The 23,739-nt window shown below is 36.6% G+C and overlaps 1 protein-coding gene and 1 long non-coding RNA gene across 11 annotated transcripts in view; one reads left to right on the forward strand and one right to left on the reverse strand.

The window, feature by feature from the left end:
• The window catches only part of GCFC2 (GC-rich sequence DNA-binding factor 2), a 50,418-nt gene that overhangs the window by 9,158 nt on the left and 17,521 nt on the right, over positions 1-23,739 (reverse strand). For 7 of the 10 annotated variants that reach the window (XM_047445615.1, XM_011533074.4, NM_001410845.1 and 4 more), the window contains 9 exons: positions 22,379-22,565; positions 20,115-20,238; positions 18,776-18,857; positions 18,107-18,219; positions 17,164-17,363; positions 15,965-16,115; positions 8,331-8,452; positions 1,582-1,658; positions 88-154 (listed from right to left, as the gene is read on the reverse strand). In XM_047445615.1, the coding sequence (XP_047301571.1) occupies positions 88-154; positions 1,582-1,658; positions 8,331-8,452; positions 15,965-16,115; positions 17,164-17,363; positions 18,107-18,219; positions 18,776-18,857; positions 20,115-20,238; positions 22,379-22,565 (1,123 nt within the window). Of the gene's footprint in view, positions 1-87; positions 155-1,581; positions 1,659-8,330; positions 8,453-15,964; positions 16,116-17,163; positions 17,364-18,106; positions 18,220-18,731; positions 18,858-20,114; positions 20,239-22,378; positions 22,566-23,739 lie in introns of those variants that run through there. The other 3 variants (XR_007080682.1, XM_011533075.3, XM_017004787.3) reach the window with 3 other exon arrangements.
• On the forward strand, positions 454-20,109 carry LOC124906025 (uncharacterized). The gene is made up of 2 exons (XR_007087113.1): positions 454-7,990; positions 18,772-20,109. It is a non-coding gene; the product is annotated as an uncharacterized LOC124906025 (long non-coding RNA).

Consider the following 23,739-nt stretch of genomic DNA (forward strand, 5'->3'; position numbering starts at 1 on the left):
CTTATAGAAGAAGTTTGTTGTTCTTTGTTCTATAGTAAACAGGATTTTTACAAAAATTGCCTTTTCATTTTTGCAGTTTTTGCTCACCTTTAGGCCTGACCAGAACTGTCTTTCTTGGAACTTTGAATGAGGTGATGTTTTGTTTTCTACAGCACTAATTAGAAACAAACGAAAGAGAAGAGAAAATGCAAAGAACTATTAGTCTTTCAGAACCAGAGTTTAAGATCAGACTTTCTTTTAAACCAACCAAACTAAGCCTTAATGGAATATAAATAGAGATTGTTTATTTTATTTTATAAATAAAATATATATTTATTTATAAAATATATATTTATATATTTATAAATATGTTTATAAAATATATATTTATATATTTATAAATATGTTTATAAAATATATATTTATATATTTATAAATATGTTTATAAAATATATATTTATATATTTATAAATATGTTTATAAAATATATATTTATATATTTATAAATATGTTTATAAAATATATATTTATAAACAAATAACTAATATATCACATTCATACATCTGAACCATGTGAATGCATTATCTAAAACATTATAAACAAAGTTTACCAAGGCAGAATTTTTACATGTAGACATCTCATGATTCAAAATGAATCAGAAAGCTTTGAGGTTCCTTTCTTCCCCCTCCATAAAGCTCCTCCATCCTGTCACTACTCACTGGATTGCTACAGTTCATGCATCATTATAACTGATGGCTTCTTAGCAAAGTTATGATCATACATCAAATACTCGTTTTATAATTTAAAGTGACTGCAGAATTTACAGGTGCAGTTTCTCGTTCCTCAGCATTGTGCTTCCTCTGTGCTAGGCCCTGTTGTGTTCTGAGCATTCTCTTCATCTCCCTAATATCCTGTGAGGTAGGCACTAATTTTATCCTTATTTTATAGATGAGAAAACAAGTGCATAAAAATACCTACTAACAGTGGACGTGTGCTCTTTACCACTCTATATCACCTGCTATGTTCCTAGGATATATGTAAAACCAAAACCAAAACCAACCAAACAAAATTCATCTAAGCGCCAAGATAAAGCACGGCTTTATGTAAGTCACTGAGAAATATTTGTTGAAATCTCAATTTGCATCCTCATAGAGTATGTGTACACATGTTTTGAAAACACTATAGTTGGCCGGGCGCGGTGGCTCACGCCTGTAATCCCAGCACTTTGGGAGGCCAAGGCGGGCGGATCACAAGGTCAGGAGATCGAGACCATCCTGGCTAACATGGTGAAACCCCATCTCTACTAAATATACAAAAAATTAGCCGGGCGTGGTGGCGGGCGCCTGTAGTCCCAGCCATGGGAGGCTGAGGCAGGAGAATGGCGTGAACCTGGGAGGCGGAGCTTGCAGTGAGCCGAGATCGCGCCACTGCACTCCAGCCTGGGCGACAGAGTGAGACTCAGTCTCAAAAGAAAAAAAAAAAAGAAACACAAAAAACAAAACAAAAAATAAAACACTGTAGTTTCTTTTGCATTGCATTCTTAAACAAATCTGTATTCTATGATCAGCTATTTCCAACAATCTAGAAATTAACAGCGCTTACCTCTTTGGATACAGAGGAATAAAAACATCATCTTCTACTGCCTTTTTCATTCTTGAAACAATGGATTTAAGTAAATCCTATTATTACAAATTTGAAAAGCATCAGTGATAGAAGATAGAAATGTATTTACCAAAAAAAAAGTAATTTTAACTGCAGTACAAATTTATCCACACTCACATAACCAGCTGTTAAAATAACTATCAATTGGGTACAAAAAAAACCTTATTTATCCATGTTGCTACATATGGGTATAGTTGGATCAATTTCATTGCTATATAGTATTTTGTTGCATGAATACTATTGATGGAACACTTAGGTGATTTCTGGTTTGGTGGCTATTATAAATAATGCTGCCATAAAAATTCTTGTACATGTCATTTAGTATGCATGGTCATACATTTCTAATGGGTATATAAATAGAAATGGAATGGCTGGAGTACAGTTCATGTCCATACGTTCAACTACGTACAAAAAACCAAACGGTTTCTAGAATAGTGGCATCCCATTTACATCATTCCTGCAGTATAAAATAAATCCTGTTTCACTACATACTTACGATAATTGGCATTTTCTTGTTTTTTAATGTTTGCAATTATAGTGGGTATGCAGTCATATTTCATTTTGTTGTTTTAATTCTCATTTAATTATCATTGAGTAATGTGCTGTTGGGCATCTTTTCATATTCCTATTTGCCACTTGGCAAGCCGTTTTGCAAAGTACCTAATTAAGCTGCTTGCCAACATTGCTATTTTTTTGTATTAGGTTCTGTCTTTTTATTACTGATTTGTACAAGTCTTTTATATACTCCAGCTGTGGGTCCTTTGTTGGAAAATCCACTTAGGGAAATCCATTTTGTTTGTACATAAAAAAATTGGAAATGACCAAACTATTCAATCACAGGGAATTTTAAGGAGATGTTACATCGCTCCAGTGAATCTATCATAAACTTTAGCTGAAGATTATGATGACTACAGTAACAGACAACTATAAATACGCAATGAGATAACATTAAGCAGAAGTAGTATACTAACTTACATGCCTATTAGGATTATAACTTTGAAAAAAAAGCCAGGATGAAAATATCCTACGATGGTATTAATCCTTGTACTAGGATGAAAGACAATGAGTGTTTATTTTTTTCATATATTAGCAATATTTATATTATTTATATAATGATATTCTTATTCATATTTGAAAAATAAAAATGGCATACTACACATTAGAGTAAAAGTTAATTTTTAAGTCAATGACAATGTATACAGCACAAATTCAACTGTCACATACTATATACTAACTGAATTATCCATAAATGTAGAATTCAAATATATTTTTCTTAAAAAGCATGACCTGAAGTCGTTTCTCTTTCCACTTAATTATCTATAACATATTCCTCAAGTGGCCATATATCAACATTTATTTAATGTTAAAAATTAAAACTCAGTTGTATTTTACTCCATTCTTTAAACATTCTGAATTCTGTTCAAAGAAAAAAAAGCATTTTCTAGACAGTATCTCCAAAAAATAGCATCTGAGTTTATGTAACTTACTGAGTTAGGTGTTCATGATACAAAAAAAGCTGCTTTGATTTTTTTCATTTAATTTTAATGATTTTGGATGCTGGCCTTGACAAATGTTCCCATATTGTTTAAATTTTGTTTCTTAAAATAGTTCTATTGAAAATGTTATAAAGGACATTATTGAATCAACTGGCAAAAGTGGAATATGGATGGTAGATTAAGTGTTGATAAATTTACTGAAATTGCTAACTACTCTGGTTATATAACATAATATCCTTGTCTTAACAAATATGCACCCTGTTCTCAGTACTCAGGAGAAAACATATTGTATGTATATATTTAAAATGGAAGGGCTAATGATAAAGCCAATGGGGCAAAATATTAATGACAAGTAAATCTTGGTAAAGGGAATATGGAAATACTACTCTTATTCATGAAAGTTTTCTTTCAAAGTATTAATATTTCCAAATAAATTGTTTAAAACAAAACATAAATTCACTGGCCGGTTGCCGTGGCTCATGCCTGTAATCCTAGCACTTTGGGAGGCTGAGGTGGGTGGGTCACTTGAGGCCAGGAGTTTGAGACCAGCCTGGCCAACATGGTGAAACCCTGTCTCTACTAAAAATAGAAAAAATTAGCCACACATGGTGGCACATGCTTGTAATCCCAGCTGCTTGGCAGGCTGAGGCACAAGAATCGCTTGAACACAGGAGGTGGAGGTTGCAGTGAGCTGAGATTGCACCACTGCACTCCAGCCTGGGTGACAGAGTAAGGTTCTGTCAAAAAAAAAAAAAAAAACAAAAAAAAGAAAAGAAACCTCCCATAAATTCACATATTTTAAAACCGTGAGATATTAACTTTTCTAAGTATTAAATAACATCATTTGTTTGATGGAAAATAAGGTTCTCCAAACAGTTTTAACAAGCATTCTGAATCACACTTTCAGACTCACATACAACCCTTTGTGTATATATATATACTTTGAAACAGCTTTAAAGAGGCACTTGTGTGATGCCAATGGTTTTTATGCTGTTCTCTATATCCATGGAGGTAATCCCAGGATGGCCTGGACAAATGTTGGGGATGGTTGGGGAAGAATAAAGGCAGGTGCTCACAACAGTAGGAGCAGTTTTACTTCTGTATGTGTGTTTGCGTATCGGATTGCGTAAGATTTATTTGAAATAGATTCTGTTGATAAAAAAGAAAAAACAAAAAATGAGTCTGAAAATCTATCTGAACTCCCAAGTGATGTTTAGACTTATTTTCACATTTCTACTAAATGGTCCACCAGCCATGTCTAAAACCATTTGCTGATAGGGGATCATTATCTCCTGAGGCTGCCCATAACTTTGGACTATTAGATTTCAGTTAACAATGAGAGTTAACAAACTTTTCCCTCCCACAGCTTCCACTCCTTGGTCTTGGTTTACTTCTTGGGATCATATAGAATAGAACTAGCCCCACTTCCACATGACAATTTTCTAGATTTTAAGATGAATATCATACTTTTTTTTTTTTTACATCTTCTCTTTCCCATACTATCTTAAGACACTCTCCACTTAATATGCTTACACCGAAAATTAAATGCAATATTCCCAGGAAGGTCTAATCTGTGGGTATTATCACCAAATATGCCATTCTTACTCAAAATAGCACACACATACTAGGAGAAACTCCCATGTACCTGTTTTCTGTTACTCAAGTGACACTGCTGACTCACGCTGGGTTTATTGATTATAATCTGTCTTACTTATGCTGCTTCAAAACTGTGTCTCTCTCATCTTTTACTTATATAGTTGAATTTTTAAACGCATGGGTGGGACATGCATTTATTTTTTCACAATTTCTTGAATCAGTCAATTTTCTACAATCTTTTGAAATCTTCTTGGATTCTAATTCTACCATCCACAAGTCTTACAGAATTCCTAGCTTTTTGTCACTGACACATTTCATTAGTATGTATTTTAACTCCTTATCCAGTTCAATAAAAATATTGAACAGGGCAAAGCTGAGAAGATATCTAATACTAACAGACTCCCCATAGGTAGCCAATGCCCTACTGGCCATTATTTTTTAGGTTTACTTAAGCTTATATTTCCCCATTTAATCCCTAAGAACAATCATAATAACAATTTGCTTCAATAAACAATGTTAAGTATCATTTGTATTTGGGAATCCTATCAATGACAGATTATAGTAATTACTGCTTTTTAAATTTAAGTATTCATAATCTTCCTCTATAATAATTTACTTTAGATTTTTAGTCAGAATCAAAACTATTATTACCAGGCATTAGCTTACAGCATTTCCTTCTAACTTTGAAAACAGAAACTATGTTGTCTGACTCAATTTTCATTCTTGAACCTCATTCTCTTTCATCACTGAAGAAATGGAGTGATCCCACTGGTGAACTGTCTTAGCAACATGGGGCATTATATAGTGTAAGTGATTCTCTACCAAGTGCCATTTTGCCATCCCTAGGGAATACCTGACAATGTGTAGACATTTTTGGTTGTGAAGACCGGGGAGTGCTACTGCCACCTAGTGGGCACAAGCCAGGGATGCTGCTAAGCATACTATAGTGCACAGGACAAACCCTCACAACAAAAAATTATCTGTTCCAAATGCCAATGTAGTGCTGAGACTGAAAACCCTGATGTAATCTATTCTCCTGCTTATGAAAACAACCCATTTTCTACATTCACAGCAGAGCGGTTTCAGAATAAAAACATCCATTATAAAAACTGCTTGAGTTTGCCTGTAATCCCAGCACTTTGGGAGGCCGAGGTGGGCGGATCACAAGGTCAGGAGATCAATACCATCCTGGCTAATACAGTGAAACCCCGTCTCTACTAAAAGCACACAAAATTAGCCAGGCATGGTGGCAGGTGCCTGTAGTCCCAGCTACTCGGGAGGCTGAGGCAGGAGAATTGCTTGAACCTGGGAGGCGGAGGTTGCAGTGAGCCAAGATCACACCACTGCACTCCAGCCTGGGTGACAGAGCAAGACTCCGCCTCAAAAAAAAAAAAAAGACTTCATGAGTGAATCCATAATACTGCTGAAGGGCTTCAGTGATCACAAAGAGCCAGGTCTACCACTTAGTATTCAAGTATTTCAAAAATGACTTAACCCTTCTGGGCCCCAGCTTCATCTGTAAAAATGCAATTAAAATAAATACATTTCACAGGGTTATGAGGATCAAATGAGACAATGTGAAAGTATTTAACAAATGGTAAAGCATAATGATTTACATTTAGGTTATAACTAAACAATACTATATGGAAAGCAAATGCAGGATTATATATCTGCTTCTTTGTAGCTTTTAACTACTAATCTTGGTTCTATGCTGCATAACAGCACAGAATAAATCTATACCTTCTTTGAATACAAACAGCATCTCTCTGTACATCTTTCAAATTAAATATCTCTAATTCCTGCAACAGTTTCCATCTATTTTACTTGAGTTTTTATCCTATTGGAGGTAAGCAGAAAATGCCTCTCTCTCTGTTGCCACATGTTGAAATCCTATTCTTTCCCTCAAGCCACAGTTCAAATGCCACCCCTAAGATAAATTATTTCCTTATCCCCACTGCTGAAGGTAACCTCTCTCTCCTGTCTCTCTCCTGAAGACACAGTACTTTATCTATGCTGCTCAAGGGGAGGCAACATGGTCAGTGAGGCAAACTTGGGCTTTAGAGGCAGACTATCCAAGTTCAAATCCTAGTGCTCATTCATAGTAGCACTGTGACAACTAGTTTTAAAGATTCATTTTCTTCATCTATAAAATGAGGCTGTCATCCTTTTAAGAGACAGGGTTTTGCTGTTGCCCAGGCTGCAGTGTGGTGGCACAATCAAGGCTCAATGCAGCTTCAACTCCTGGGCTCAAGGGGGAGCCCAGCTAATTTTTATTTTTTTGGTAGAGATGGATCTTGCTATGATGCCCAGGCTGGTCTTGAACTCTTGGCCTGAAGAGATCCTCCTGCCTCAGCCTCCCAAAGCACTCAGATATACAGGCGTGATCTGCCATACCTGGCGATCACCCATTTTTTAAATAGGGCTGCTGGGATTAAGATGACAGGTACAAGACCTTACAGAGTGCCTAGTACACAATTGGAATTAAATAAGTGTTTGTTATCTTCCCTACTTCTCCTTTTCACTTCCAGTTTTAAGTTACAGTTTATGTGCATCTTATTTTCTCTGAGATTACATGCTTCTTGAAGGCAGAATTAGGCTGGTATCCCTTTTCTCCCTTTCATTTCTTACAGCTATCCTCCTTTGTAATCACAGTTCCAAGGGCTAAAACTTAATGGTGCTCATAATATGAATATGATATGCCTCCTTGCTTTTCAACCACCTCTGTCATTCTACTCCGGGCATTCTCCAGTCTGTCAATTTCTCCTTAATTTCCTAAAGCTCAACCTAAAATTGGTTTACTCATAAAACTGCATGAATCTACAATCTCATCAACAAACAATAAAAAAAAATGCTACAATGAAAGAGTGAGAAGATTCTCAGCAACATCACTCTAAAAAGTTCCCCAATATGTCTTATGTTCACTGAATTCAATTCTAGATCATTGTAAGATTAAGATCTGTTTTACTGAACTTTGAATCCTTAAAGAGACTACTATTATTTGGTAGACTACAAATAACTAGTTAATACAATAAGTGTCAGTCTAATTTTGAAACCATTGTTCAAGCAAAGCCACAATGCCACTGGATTTTTGCCAAAAGAACAAAGGTAATGAGTATTGTTGTCTTCCTTTAGAAGAAATGAATTTGCACTAATGAATTTATACCGGTTCATCTCTGCAGGGCCAGTGTATATTCATAATCCTGAAAGATGGCTGCCTGGGCCATGAGAACACAAATCAGATCACTGAACAGAGAAAAGTAAGCTAATAGGAATGAAAGTCATAATCTGGGTCCTTACATGTATGTCTATAATTTAAAATGATTACCACTCCTATCACAGTGTTGAGAAGTATCAAGGTATATTCTTTCATCTTATTATTATAAAGATAAAAAATAGCCAAGTCCAGTTTAAAAAATTTTTTTTTCATCTCAGTGCAGTCTGAGAAAAAGTCTAGTTTCTATAAATCAAAAGTAAATATGTTTTCCCCCAAACAGTTTTCTGATAATCACTTCTGCATCTTTTATAAACCAAGATCTGTAAGAAAATTATAATGATTTAGAGATAGATCATGGAGTTCGCAACTCTAGAAATTATTACCTGTCTGCTTTTACTAACTTCATTTTCACAAGTGGAATGTTCTTCAAGAATCACTCTGCAATGTGTTATTAAACTTGTTGTCTGTGAGGTTGACAAAGGATCCCAAAGGAATTCTACAAAGTCTGAAACAAATATTTCAGTGGTACACAATGTATTTACTAGATTGTTTTGCTTTTCATATACAAATAATCAAGACCTTTAACAAACACTACTTCCCTCCTTATTCAGTTTAAGTTCCATGGCCAATTATTACCATTACATATTTGCATACATCTTCAATTTCCTTGTTCTTCTTGGGCTTTGTTAAACTCCTCTGGCTAAACTACAGCTCTTTATAGTTAAGTTCACCTTGTCACTGAGTCTCTGCCTGCAACCATGCAGATAAAAAGTGGCTGGAAAAACAAACACATTAACTTGATCACTATACAACTTGAGTGAGCCTCTCTCTCTCTCTGTCTCTCAGGTCCATTCACTCTCCCTCTCACCTAGATGATTACTTCATACCTTCTCCCCTCTCCGTTATCTCTCTCTCAGTTGATGGACTTTTTCCTTCTAGATGATTATTTCCTACTTTATTTTTTCTACTCCCTTGCATTCTCTTTCAGCTAATTACTTCCTAATTTGCTAAGAAAATAGAAGCAATCAGAAAAGCAGCACTATGAAGCTCCTACCACAGCATCTACACACCTACCTACATCTGTGCCGATATGCTCTAACTTGTCTCCTATTCCTATGGATGAGGCACCCACACTCCCACCACTTCAGGCAAACTGTTTATTTTGTGGATGAGATCCCAAGCCTTTTGGCTTAGTCTAAGATCCTGTTCCCAGAACACTGTCCTTCCACTTTGGTATTGACATCACTTGTACTAGATTTTTTCCATCACCCTACAAACAACTATTTATCTTGTATTAAAAATAATCCCCCTCAGTGTAAGGAGGCTGCCAAGATGGCCGAATAGGAACAGCTCCAGTCTACAGCTCCCAGCGAGATGGACGTAGAAGGCCGGTGATTTCTGCATTTCCAACTGAGGTACCCAGTTCATCTCATTGGGCCTGGTTGGACAGTGGGTGCAGCCCACAGAGGGTGAGCTGAAGCAAGGTTGGGTGTTGCCTCACCTGGGAAGCACAAGGGGTTGGGGAATTCTCTCCCTTATCTAAGGGATGCCACGAGAAACCGTGCCAGGAGGAACAGTGCACTCCAGCCCAGATACTGTGTTTTTCCCACGGTCTTCGCAACCGGCAGACCAGGAGATTCCCTCCAGTGCCTACCCCACCAGGGCTGTGGGTTTCATGCACAAAACTGGGTGGCTGTTTGGGCAGACATCAAACTAGCTGCAGGCTTTTTTTTTAATTTTTATTTTTTCATACCCCAGTGGCACCTGGAACGCCAGAGAAACAGAACCATTCACCACCCTGGAAAAGGGGCTGAAGACAGGGAGCCAAGTAGTCTGGCTTGGTGGGTCCCACCCCCACGGAGCCCAGCAAGCTAAGATCCACTGACTTGAAATTCTCACTGCCAGCACAGCAGTCTGAGCCCAACCTGAGATGCTTCAGCTTGGTAGGCGGAGGGGTGTCCGCCACTGCTGAGGCTTCAGTAGCCGGTTTATGCCTCACAGTGTAAACAAAGCCACCGGGAAGTTCGACCTGGGCAGAGCCCACCGAAGCTCAGCAAGGCCACTGCGGCCAGACTGCCTCTCTAGACTCCTCTTCTCTGGGCAGAGCATCTCTGAAAAAAGCCAGCAGCCCCAGTCAGGGACTTAGAGATAAAACCCCCATCTTCCATGGACAGAGCACCTGGGGAAAGGGGTGGCTGTGGGCGCAGCTTCAGCAGACTTAAACGTCCTTGCCTGACAGTTCTGAAGACAGCAGTGGTTCTCTCAGCACAGTGTTCGAGCTCTGCTAAGGGACACACTGCCTCCTCAAGTGGGTCCCTGACCCCTGTGTATCCTGTCTGGGAGACACCTCCCAGTAGGGGCCGACAGACACCTCACAGAGGAGAGCTCTGCCTGGCATCTGGCGGATGACCCTCTGAGACGAAGCTTCCAGAGGAAGGAACAAGCAGCAATCTTTGCTGTTCTGCAGCCTCCGCTGGTGATACCCAGGCAAACAGGGTCTGGAGTGGACCTCCAGCAAACTCCAGCAGACCTACAGCTGAGGGGCCTGACTGTTAAAAGCAAAACTAACAAACAGAAAAGAATAGTATCAGCATCAACAAAAAGGATGTACCCTAAGAGACCCCATCTGAAGGTCACCAACATCAAAGACCAAAGGTAGATAAATCCACAAAGATGGGGAGAAACCAGTGCAAAAAGGCTGAAAATTCCAAAAACCAGAATGCCCGTTCTTCAAAGAATCACAACTCATCACCAGCAAGGGAACAAAACCGGATGGAGAATGAGTTTGACGAAGTGACAGAAGTAGGCTTCAGAAGGTGGGTAATAACAAACTCCTCTGAGCTAAAGGAGCATGTTCTAACCCAATGGAAGGAAGCTAAGAACCTTGAAAAAAGGTTAGAGGTATTGCTAACTAAAATAACCAGTTTAGAGAAGAATACAAATGACCTGATGAAGCTGAAAAACACTGCATGAGAATGTCGTGAAGCATACACAGGTATCAATAGCTGAATCGATCAAGTGGAAGAAAGGATATCAGAGACTGAAGATCACCTCAATGAAATAAAGCGAGAAGACAAGTTTAGAGAAAAAAGTGAAAAGAAACAAACAAAGCCTCCAAGAAATATGGGACTATGTGAAAAGACCAAATCTATGTTTGATTGGTGTACCTGAAAGTGATGGGGAGAATGGAACCAAGTTGGAAAACACTCTTCAGGACATTATCCGGAAGAACTTCCCCAACACAGCAAGGCAGGCCAACATTCAAATTCAGGAAATACAGAGAACACCACAAAGATACTCCTCGAGAAGAGCAACCCCAAGACACATAATTGTCAGATTCACCAAGGTTGAAATGAAGGAAAAAAAGTTAAGGGCAGCCAGAAAGAAAGGTTGGGTTACCCACAAATGGAAGCCCATCAGACTAACAGCGGATCTCTCTGCAGAAACCCTACAAGCTACAAGAGACTGGGGGCCAATATTCAACATTCTTAAAGAAATGAATTTTCAATCCAGAATTTCATATCCAGCCAAACTAAGCTTCATAAGCAAAGGAAAAATAAAATCCTTTACAGACAAGCAAATGCTGAGAGATTTTGTCACCACCAGGCCTGCCTTACAAGAGCTCCTGAAGGAAGCGCTAAACATGGAAAGGTACAACTGGTACCAGACGCTGCAAAAACATACCGAATTGTAAAGACCATCAACGCTATGAAGAAACTGCGTCAACTAATGAGCAAAATGACCAGCTAGCATCATAATGACAGGATCAAATTCACACATAACAATATTAACTTTAAAAGTAAATGGGCTAAAAGCCCCAATTAAAAGACACAGACTGGCAAATTGAATAAAGTGTCAAGACCCATCAATGTGCTGTATTCAGGAGACCCATCTCATGTAAAGAGACACACACTGGCTCAAAATAAAGGGATGGAGGAATATTTACCAAGTAAATGGAAAGCAAAAAAAAAAAAAAAAAAAAAGAAAAAAGAAAAAAAAGCATGAGTTGCAGTCCTAGTCTCTGATAAAACAGACTTTAAGCCAGCAAAGATCAAAAGAGACAAAGAAGGGTATTACATAATGGTGAAGGGATCAGTGCAACAGTAAGAGCTAACCATCCTAAATAAATACGCACCCAATACAGCAGCACTCAGATCAGATTCATAAAGCAAGTTCTTAGAGACCTACAAAGAGACTTAGACTCCCACACAATAATAGTGGGAGCCTTTAACATCCCACTGTCGATAACAGACAGATCAATGAAACAGAAAATTAACAAAGATATCCAGGAATTGAACTCAGCTCTGGACCAAGCAGACCTAATAGACATCTATAGAACTCTCCACCCCAAATCGACAGAATATACATTTTTCTTAGCACCACATCACACTTATTCTAAAACTGACCACATAATTGGAAGTAAAACACTCCTCAGCAAATGCAAAAGAATGGAAATCATAACAAACAGTCTCTCAGACCACAGTACAATCAAATTAGAACTCAAGATTAAGAAACTCACTCAAAACCGCACAACTATATGGAAACTTAACAGCCTGCTCCTGAATGACTACTGGGTAAATAAAGAAATGGAGGCAGAAGTAAAGATGTTCTTTGAAACCATGAGAACAAACACACAACGTACCAGAATCCCTGGGACACATTTAAAGCAGTGTGTAGAGGGAAATTTATAGCACTAAATGCCCACAACAGAAAGCAGGAAAGATCTAAAATCGACATCCTAACATCACAATTAAAAGAGAGGATGTGGAGAAATAGAACACTTTTACACTGTTGGTGGGACTGTAAACTAGTTCAACCATTGTGGAAGACAGTGTGGCGACTGCTCAAGGATCTAGAACTAGAAATACCATTTAACCCAGCCATGCTATTACTGAGTATATACCCAAAGGATTATAAATTCATGCTGCTATAAAGACACATGCACATGTATGTTTATTGTGGCACTATTCACAATAGCAAAGACTTGGAACCAACCCAAATGCCCATCAATGATAGACTGGATTAAGAAAATGTGGCACATGTACACCATGGAATACTATGCAGCCATAAAACAGGATGAGTTTATGTCCTTTGCAGGGACATGGACATGGATGAAGCTGGAAACCATCATTCTCAGCAAACTAACACCAGAACACAAAACCAAACACTGCACGTTCTCACTCATAAGTGGGAGCTGAACAATGAGAACACATGGACAGGGAGCGGAACATCACACACCGGGGCCTTTTGGGGGTCAGGGGACTGGGGTGGGATAGCATTAGGAGAAATACCTAATGTAGATGACAAGTTGATGAGTGCAGCAAACACTATGGCACGTGTACACCTATGTAACAAACCTGCACGTTCTGCACATGTACCCCAGAACTTAAAGTATAATAATAAACAAACAAAAAATCCCCCTTAGCCCTACTTCCTCCTCTAGTATTGTTCCATTTCCCTCCTATCTTTTACAACAAAATTCCTCAAAGTACTATCTAAACTTCTATCTCCAGTTTCTCTCTTCTCACTTGTTCTTGCTTTCCCTTTAATTAGGCCTTATCTCTTATCAGCCTACCTAATGCGCTCTTAGCAAATCACAGATGACATTCACATAGCAAACTCCAATGATTGATTCTAATCCTCATCTGACTTATCATCAACAATTCCAACAGTTGACCCTTCTTTCTTCCTAGAAACACTGTCTTTACTTGGCTTCCAAAATACCACACTCTTAGTTTCCTGCCCACCTCTCTGGTCTTTGCTGTCTGCTTGTCATCTCTTTGACTTCCCAGTGCTATAGTATCTCAGGATTCAGGTCACTTACCTTCTCTTTTCGGTTTATATTCACTCGCTTGGTATTCAAAGTCAATTTTATACATTAAATGCCATCAATAAATGTCATGTGGATAAATTCCAAACTTATACCTTCTGACTGGACCTCCCCCTTTAAGACTCATGTATTCAACAACTGACTTGACATGTCCACTTAGATTACAGGTACTTCAAAATCAACATGTCCCAAACTGAGCTGCTATGCTAATACAGCTCCCCACATTAAGCTTACTCCTGTCAGACTTTTTCATTTCAGGAAATGGCACCTCTGTCCTTCCAGTTGCTCAGGCCAATTCCTCAATGGACCCATTCTTGATTCCTCTCTTTCTCTCTTGCTGCACAACCAATCCATTAGCACATTCTGTTAGTGCTATCTTTGAAATATATGTAGAATTCAATCACTATTTGGACTCAGTCAGTGTTAATTTCTCACAAAGCTACTTATTTGTGGGACTGTTTCATCATTAGTATTTAGATTTTTTCAGCAGAGTGCTTAAACTAGGCACATGCATTCTATCATTAGTAGAGTTAGTTAAAAATAGTAACTTTCTAACACACCCCACAAATGCACCATAAGTTTCATTGAAATAAAATCTTGAAAGTTTTTATTTTTTATTTTTTTTAAATTTTAAATTTATAAATAGAGATGGGGTTTCACCTCGTTGCCAAGGCTGGTCTGGAACTCCTGTGCTCAAGCGATCCTTCTGCCTCGGCCTTGCAAAGTGCTGGGATTACAGGCATGAGCAACTCCACCCAGCCAAAATCTTATAATCAAGTTGCCTAAGAAGCAATTATAAGGCTAATTGCTTCCAACTTCTAGGCTGGGCATGGTGACTCATGCCTATAATCCCAGTGCTTTGGGAAGCTTAGGGGAAGGGTCTCTTGAGGCCAGGAGTTTGAGACTAGCCTGGGCAACAGAGCAAGACCCTGTCTCTAAAAAAATCTTTTAAAAATTAGCTGGGTATGGTGGCACGCGCCTGGAGTCCTAGCTAATTGGGAGGCTGAGGCAGTAGGATCACTTGACCCCAGGAATTCAAGACTGACTTGAGCAATGTTCACACCACTGTACTCCAGTCTGGGTGACAGAGGAAGACCCTGTCTCAAAAACAAACACACAAAAAATTAAATAAGAGTTTTGCAGTCTTTGCTGTCAAATTTCTTTCTCAGTGACATAGTGAAACGGATCCTTATCAAGTACACAGGTAAAACAAAAGACTTCATGCTAAGGTCTGAAGCACAAGCATTAATGTTAAGTGCTCATAGCTGCTAGTGGCAAATGTGAGTGAAATGAAGCAATTTTTTTTTTTTTTGAGACGGAGTTTCACTCTTGTCACCCAGGCTGGAGTGCAATGGCACGATCTCGGCTCACCGCAACCTTCGCCTCCCAGGTTTAAGCAATTCTCCTGCCTCAGCCTCCTGAGTAGCTGGGATTACAGGTGCCTGCTACCACACCCAGCTAGTTTTTTGTATTTTTAGTAGAGACGAGGTTTCGCCATGGTGGCCAGGCTGGTCTTGAACTCCTGACCTCAGGTGATCTACCTGCCTTGGCCTCCTAAAGTTCCAGGATTACAGGCATGAACCACCACTCCCAGATGAAGCAATGGTTTTAAAGAAAAGGATAAGAAACACAATTAGAGAAGTTAAGGGGAAAAAAGGACACATGTAGTATGGATGGAAGTGTGCTAAAAAATGACTGAAGTGCCATAAAAGCAGCGGGAATGCCACAAACACTAAACTGACTTTAAATACTAAGTGACTGAAGTAAATAGAACAGAGAAGGTAAGTGACCTGAATCCAGAGATACTGTAGCACTTGGAAGTCAAAGAGGTGACAAGCAGACAGCAAAGACCAGAGAGGTGGGCAGGAAACTAAGAGTGTGGTATTTTGGTAGCCAAGTAAAGACAGTGTTTCTAGGAAGAAAGAAGGGTCAACTGTTGGAACTGCTGATGATACGTCAGATGAGGATTAGTGATCAATCTGAGTATTAGCAGTTTGGTAGCCAACCACCTGTACAAACACAAATTTTTTAACCACCTTACATTTGACAGCTGTTGATTTTTACTACATATAACATTTCCTTGAGATTAAAAACTTATGAAAAAACTTTGTGAATATAACAGAAATTAACAACCTTATATACTCTGTCAGAAAATAATTTAATTTTACCAAGGTTACGAAGCAGTACCTGTAAGTCGGGGAATAATTGTTTTGTTGATGATTGCAGACAAGACTTTTTTATCTGAACTACTTTCCTTCTTTGAATCTTCCACACTGCTATCCATAAATTCTTCTACAGATTTGAACCATGGCATCTCTTTTAAACCTGTGGATTCCAACTTACAAAGAAAATTACAAAAGTTATAAAGAAATCTTTCAACATTAGTGTATTTTTAAATAGTTATTATTTTTTTCAATAATCACCAGAGCTTTTCTAAGGATCAGAAGAGATTAATTCCCTATTTTAACACTAGACCACCAAGGCTAGGCAGGATTGCAGGACAGCATGACTGAGACATGGTGTCTAAGTAACATAAGAAGAAGCTGCATTTCATGCATTCAATCACACAACAAACACTCAACAACTACCTAGTGTGTGCCGGAGCCTTTAGACCCTACCACATGGCAAGTACTCTGCTTGGAGCAAAATACAAATTTGTTAGGCACTTGAAACAGCCATGGAATTTGTTTATAAAAAAAATTCATCCACTTCAAGCAAAGTTTATTTCTGGCCCCTTCAATTCACTAAGCATAAATATGTAATTTGTATGTGATTTAGTTAAAGGTCCTATTACACAGTAGGCAGTTGCTGAGTTCATACTTCTTTTTTTTTCTTTTAGTCAGTCAAATTCAGTGAACAGAGTTTATATTCCTTAACTTAGGATCTAAATATCTGTGCAATTTCTAGCTCCTGAACTAATACTTCTCCCTTTACACCTTTATGAAACACCTTTCCCTTTCTGATTCATCCTGTTTACCCCATAAACTCTTCAAAGGCTTGCATTCCACCTTCTCAACACAACCCTAAGCAACTCTTCCCAGTATGTCATCTCCAACTTAAGAATTCTTGAAACAAGGCTTTTATATCTACTTTCTCCAAACCCAACAGTACCTTATACTTTCTGGGAGGATTTTAAATTTAATGTACAAGAAGCTAAAAAAAAATGTGTTTGCTTTACTGATGTTAATGATGCTTAGCCTAAAAATCAAGTGACAGCCAAGAAAAGAAGAATGTAGCCGAAAGCACACATTTTCTGACTATTGTTCCAAAGCTCTAAATTTCAGCTCCGACTCTAAGGGTAAGGTATTTAATGCCTAACACAATAGTAAGGGAATTTAAGCAACTAATATAATCAGGATAATTTTTCATATGTTAAGCATAAATACCTTAAGAGGATTCCAATCAATCAACTGAACTCGTATTAGGGGATTTAAAAGCTTTGGTATGCATAAACTAATGAAAGCTTCATAATAGGAGTCAGGAAACTTTTCTCGCCATTGCTGAAATTTCAACAAAATATTCTGGATGTTACAAAAATCATCTTGCACTTCTTCAAAAACTTTCTTCTGTTTCTGTAAAATGTCACCTGTAAACAAAATAAGTCTCTTTATGCATTTTAAGTTGTGAACTTTAAGTATGCTTCCTTAAAAACACGGTCATGATGGACTGTAATCAATTGAGCTAAAATTTGTCCTTTTATATTAATATAAATTTTTATTAAATCACTTTATCAACAAAGTAATAATATCAACACTAATAGAAGTTACCATATATACCCCTGCTATACGCAGAAATACATTAATCTCATTTTACCATCGTAGCTATCTTCCATACCATATAGGTATAGTCTACTTATTTACAGACAAAACAACATCAAATTTAGGGAGGTCAAAAAATTTGTCTAAGATTACACAGAAAAAAATCTCCCTTAGAACCCAAATTTATTTAAATCCAGAGCCTAGAATTTTTCAACTATATGCATCTTCTCATCATGCTAAAAAGTTTCACCAAATTCAAATGTTTTAAGTTAAAAATGACAATATAGAAAGTATGTGTGGTAAAGAAATGAAATGAAGATGTTCATTATTAATTGGAGAACGTCTAAGAGAAAAAACTATGAAGATGTAAGAATACTCACAATGTTCCTTCCTTCATTTTACTCCATTTTTTCAGAGAAAAGAGTCTTACAGAGGAAAAATGTGTTTCATTTTTCCTGAATTTACCCAACTGTTTTATATAGCTTATGTACTTATTAAGGGCAATCCCAGCAAAGTGTTTCTCACCATTTCAAAACTCAAACCATGATATATTAGAAACTTGGTAACTGACCTTGGCTTTTTTGGAAGTCAATCATCTCTGCTGAAGGCAGTTCATCATCACTAGATGTTCCTTCCTGATGGTTACAATTCCCAGAAAGCACCCTTGCTTGTCTTCTTTTTGTCCTATATTTTGCAACAAACCAAAAATAAACAAAAAGTAAGTAGTTCTTGCTGAAAATAAATGCCTAAATTTTTTTTAACCTCTTGCTGAAAATAAGTAATTTTATCATTTATTTTAAATGGCCAGAAATATACTATCATATCAGCGCACAATTTTATTAATATTTTTGACATTTTTAGTTTCATTAGTTTGAGTTGGTGGTTCTGCATTTTTTGTTTTGTTTTGTTTTCTCTTATAAGACATTCCCATTTAGGACATTCCCATGGGCTAACCAGATTCCGAAGAGGGGGTAATTATAATTAGGACCGGTTTCTAGTTACAAGGAATTCCCAGCCTGATAAATGTCATTTTACCCATTCCTTTTAACTGATCCAAATACACCAATGTGTCTTTAAAGCAGTCAAGGGTGGTTTTACTAAATTTTGCTTTTCTATTATTCTTACAAATTAATAATGTATATCAGGTATAGTTAATGACATCATGTGGTTAATTATATTTCAGTAGTGAAAAGTACTTGCTCAATGATGCTTTCTTTAAATCTTCACTTTATATAGGTACCTTCGAGATTCAATCTCTTCTAAAATCCACTGAGTTTTTTCATCTACTGAGAAGTTTCCACTTGTGGATGTCTCATCTTTGCCTGTTAATAAATAAAATTGACTTCATACTACAAATTCTCAAAAGAAAAAAGTAAAATGCTTTGAAAATAAAGGTAATATCATGGATGTATAAACATATGCATATGTAAATACATAAATATGCTTAAATTTTGCAATTAATTATGCAATGACATTTCAATGTTAACTCTTTATTGCAATATTAACAGGCATGAGGTTCATTAGCCTAAAAATGTACTTTGGCTGGTGTACTTTTGCTGTTGTTGAGAACAGCAACAAAGTTCTACCACAAAGTTTCGTTTTCTCATATTCTTTTCCAGTAGTTTCTACCAGTTTTTTTCCATAGCCAAATGCAAGAAATATTGGCTTTGCCAATACAGGAGTCCCCCCTAATCTGCAGGGGACACCTTCTAAGAACCCCAGTCGATGCCTGAAACTGCATATAGCACCAAACCCTATTTGTTTTTTCCTCTATATACACACCTATGATAAAGTTTAATTTATAAATTAGGCACTGTAAGAGACTAACAATAGCAATAAAGTAGAACAATGAAAATAATATATTGTAAGTTATACGAATGTTGGGTATCTCTCTCTCAAAATATCTTATTGTACTGTACTTATTCATTTTTGGACCATTGTTGACTGAAACTGTGGAAAGCAAAACTGCAGATTAGAGGGATTACTGTATTCTATTCATATTATTTCTTATTTTAATACGTAATACCATTATTTATGATCCACTAAGGGTTGTGTGTTTCACTGAAAGTCACTTTGCCTTTGCATTTACTAGCTACTTGGTTATGGTCTTTCACTATCTCCTGATAGCACCTTAATCAAAGGAAGATATCTCTGAAAGTACAAAATCAATGCGAAAAAAAAAAGAGGAGGCATCCGTATTTTATATAATGAGATCTTAAAATCTGTATTGAAACTCACCAGAACCAATCTGTAAAAGGGCTCTGAAACTATGAAGTTAGACTTCTGACAGAGCCTCCAGAATTATGTGAACTTGTCTCAAAACATTCTCTAAATGGCTATGTACATATTCTGTCTGAAATAGTAAATAACTGGAAGTCATGTTTATTTTTGAGTCTTGGACTTAATTTAAAACATTCTTAAGTCCTATTTCTAAATGTTTTGAGTTTTTGGAAGTTGGTGGGTAAAGGGTTTGTGGGAAAATACATGAAAAACATGTTTATAAAAATAAAAATATTTTTATTCTTCACATAATTTAGCTTAATGAATAATAAATTGTATGGAACACGAAAAACACTAACGTGATAACTGTTGTAAATACGTTGATTCATGTTTTAATTCATCTTGCCTGCGTTTCATAAAGGTCATAGCTTGTTTTAAAAGGAGTGCATGCATGGATGATTCTATTTCTTGGATGTTGATAATCTGAAATACACATATAAGTAACATTTTGCAGGTCATCGATAATGAAATATATATATATATATATATATATAAAAGTAATATTTAGAAGATACATAAGCATATTTATATGCTTAATTCTCAAAGAAACATTCCCAATACTATCACATCTGAAGTATAAAACATTGTGTGCAACAGACCTAGCTGCCAATACTTTTAATATTAAAAAATCAGAAAATTGACTTAGTCTACTGGAACTGTTACAATTATCAGAGATAGATAAACTAAATGGGGGCCAGGATGTGGTAGCTCATGCCTGTTATCCCAGCACTTTGGGAGGTGGGTAGATCACCTGAGGTCAGGAGTTCAAGGCCAGCCTGGCCAACATAGCGAAACCCCTTCTCTACTAACAGTACAAAAATTAGCCAGGCGCAGTGGCACCTGCCTTCAATCCCAGCTACTCAGGAGACTGAGGCAGGAGAATCGCTTGAACTCTGGAGGTGGAGGTTACAGTGAGCTGAGATCACACCACTGCACTCCAGCCTGGGCAACAGAGTGAGGCTCTGTCTCAAAAGAAAAAAAAAAAAAGAAACCAAATGGGATGGAGTCAGGAACATGCATTAAAGTTTGAGATAGAAGATTTTTTTTTGAGACAGAAGAATAGGAAAAAATGAAGGGTACAGATGTTTTCCAGGCTGAGGGTGTGGAAAGTAGGTGGGGGCACTCAAAGCTGGTGAAATTTGAAAAATCGGGGAATGGAGAAAAACTAACCAGAGTCAGGTAAGTAAGTTGTGATGTGATACAGAAATGAGACTTGTTGAAATTGAAACTCTCATATTTTGGGGAGCAACAATTCCTCCTACTCCATTGATACTCCACAGCTGCTGCTATGAGTACATTAATGCACAGGCTGACAAAATTTTAACAGTGTAATTTTTCAAGGGCAAATGAAAAAAGAAAATTACATTGTAATAAATACTTCAGAAAGTAACTACCAAGTGATAGTAGAAGATAGCCAACTTAAAACAACAATTGGGACAAAGCATCTCATTGTTTTAATTATAAACAAAAAATAATGTGGGCTGAGTGCAGTGGCTCAGGCCTATAACCCTAGCACTTTGGGAGGCTGAGACAGGTGGATTGCCTGAGCTCGGGAGTTCCAGACCAGCTTGGGCAACATGGCGAAACCCCGTCTCTACTAAAAATACAAAACATTAGCTGGGTGTGGTGGTGCACGCCTGTAGTCCCAGCTACTTGGGAGGCTGAGGCACGAGAATCGCTTGAACCTAGGAGGCAGAGGTTGCATTGAGCTGAGATCGTGCTACTACAGTCCAGCCTGGGTGACAGAGCGAGACTCTGTCCCCCTCACTAGAAAAATAAATAAAATAAAAATAACAAAAATGTGGAAAGTAGAGAATAATTTATTGAAATGGTTAATCTATTTTTAAAAACAGACAACTGAAGGCCTGCCCCAATGTAAAAACTTAGTATGCATAAAACAAAAACTAAAAACAAAAATTTCAAAACATCTGAATGTTGAAAGAAAAACCATTACAAACAAATTCAAAAGACAAAACTGGTAAGTTCACATTAAGTAGGATAAAACATTAAAAAATTTTAAGCTATAAAGAATTGTTCATACTCTAACAAAACCAGAAAAGAAAAAGAAAAAAATTTCCACTAAGAACCACAAAGATAAAAGGGCAAAGACAAGAAACAAATAATTCACAAGCAGAAAACCAAAGAGTTTGCTTGAGATCAAAATATGATATGTAAAAACAAAATCCATTTATTCCTAATCTAGTAAACTAATAAAACTGGCACAATCTTTCTGGAGGTCAATTTTGTAATGTTTCATAAGCCTTAAAAATATTTAGACTTAATAATTCATTTTATTTGACTTCATTTTCAAGGAATTTTCCTTAAACAGAAGAAATTATAACAAAAATTTATATACAAAATTTTATACAATGTTACTTACAATAATAAAATAGTTGCAAAAAACTTGAATATCCAACATTAAGAGAATGCTATCATCTTATTTTAAAAATGTGTAGGAAAAATACTAGAGAAAAGTATCTAATTGTGAGATTTAGACTTTTCTTAATTGCACAAGGGGTTTTCTCCAAAAAAGGAAATGATATAAATAAATATTGATATGTACCTTTTCATTAAGGCAGTCAATTAAATTTTCCACATAAATTTTCATGCTTTTATAGAATTTACAATTTAGAGCTTGATTTGATGAACTCTCTAGGTTCTGGATGGTACTCTTTGAGCTTTTGACATCTTGTACGTATTTTTCATACTCCCTCAGGTGTGAGCGGTGAGTTTCCTGTAGTAATGTTAATCTAAATAAATAAAATAAAAATTAGTTTATTTTTCATACTCTTTTAAAAGTAGCAATCTAATGTAAATATTTTCAAAGACCACCAAGGAAACTGACAATCATATAAATCTGGGTTTATAGACTAGATAAGCAAAGAACACCACAATAAAAGGAAACCCTTTAGCACTTGCTTAGGCCAAATATTCTCTCTTCAAGTTTTCTTGCATTTGTCTTTCAGAATCTTTCTTTGCTTTATATAAAGGAGAGTGAGAATTAAGAAATTAATCAAGATAATAATGTATAGTAGGCATTATTAATAAAATGTTTTAGTTAAGTAGAATATTTTTGACTATAGCAGTGAACTTGTAAGTAAATATCATGTGGAAAAAACTAGGTACAGAGCAGGGTATATAATGTCCTTTTTTGTATAAAAACGGGAATATATAAGTATACATGTGCTTATAAAGATATACATATAGACCACTTCTGGAACAAAACATAAGAAACTGGTAGCAATGGGTTCCTCTAGGGAGGGTGGTAATTTACTTCGTTCTGTATATCCTTTCCACTGGTTATTTTATTTTTTAACAATGAGAGTGTATGGTCTTTTTAAAATAAAAAACCTAGTTAATAAAAAATAAAATATAATAAAGTTATCCAGATAAAATAAAATGCTACGATAAATCAATGATCTGCTGCCTCTTTTTTATCCCTCATGCAAGGTTATCTTTGTATTCTAGGGGGCTGGCAAACTACCAGTCCATCCTTTGTTTTTATAAATAAAGTTATATTGGAACACATACATGCTTATATGTTTACATATTGTCTATGGCTGTTTTCATGCTGTAACATAGAGTTGAGCAGTTACAACAGCAATCATCTAGCCCTTAAAGCCTAAAATATTTACTATCCAGCCTTTTACACAAAAAGACGACTTGCTGACTCCTGTTCTAGATCAAAATGTCCAACAGAGAAGTATTTAATTATGATATAACAACTATATGGACAAACATGATAGTTTTTTTAAAAAAATTAAAGGCTTTTTGGTAATATAGAAAAATGCTTATAATCATATTAAATAGAAAAGTAGAATTTTGTATTTACTGATTTTAACCACGTAAAATATGTTATAAAGACTAAAAAGACATATCGTAGTCACCCCTTAATCATGGGGATAGGTTCCAAGACCCCCAGTG

Source organism: Homo sapiens, chromosome 2 (genome assembly GCF_000001405.40).
Source record: "Homo sapiens chromosome 2, GRCh38.p14 Primary Assembly".
Classification (NCBI taxonomy): Eukaryota; Metazoa; Chordata; class Mammalia; order Primates; family Hominidae; genus Homo; species Homo sapiens.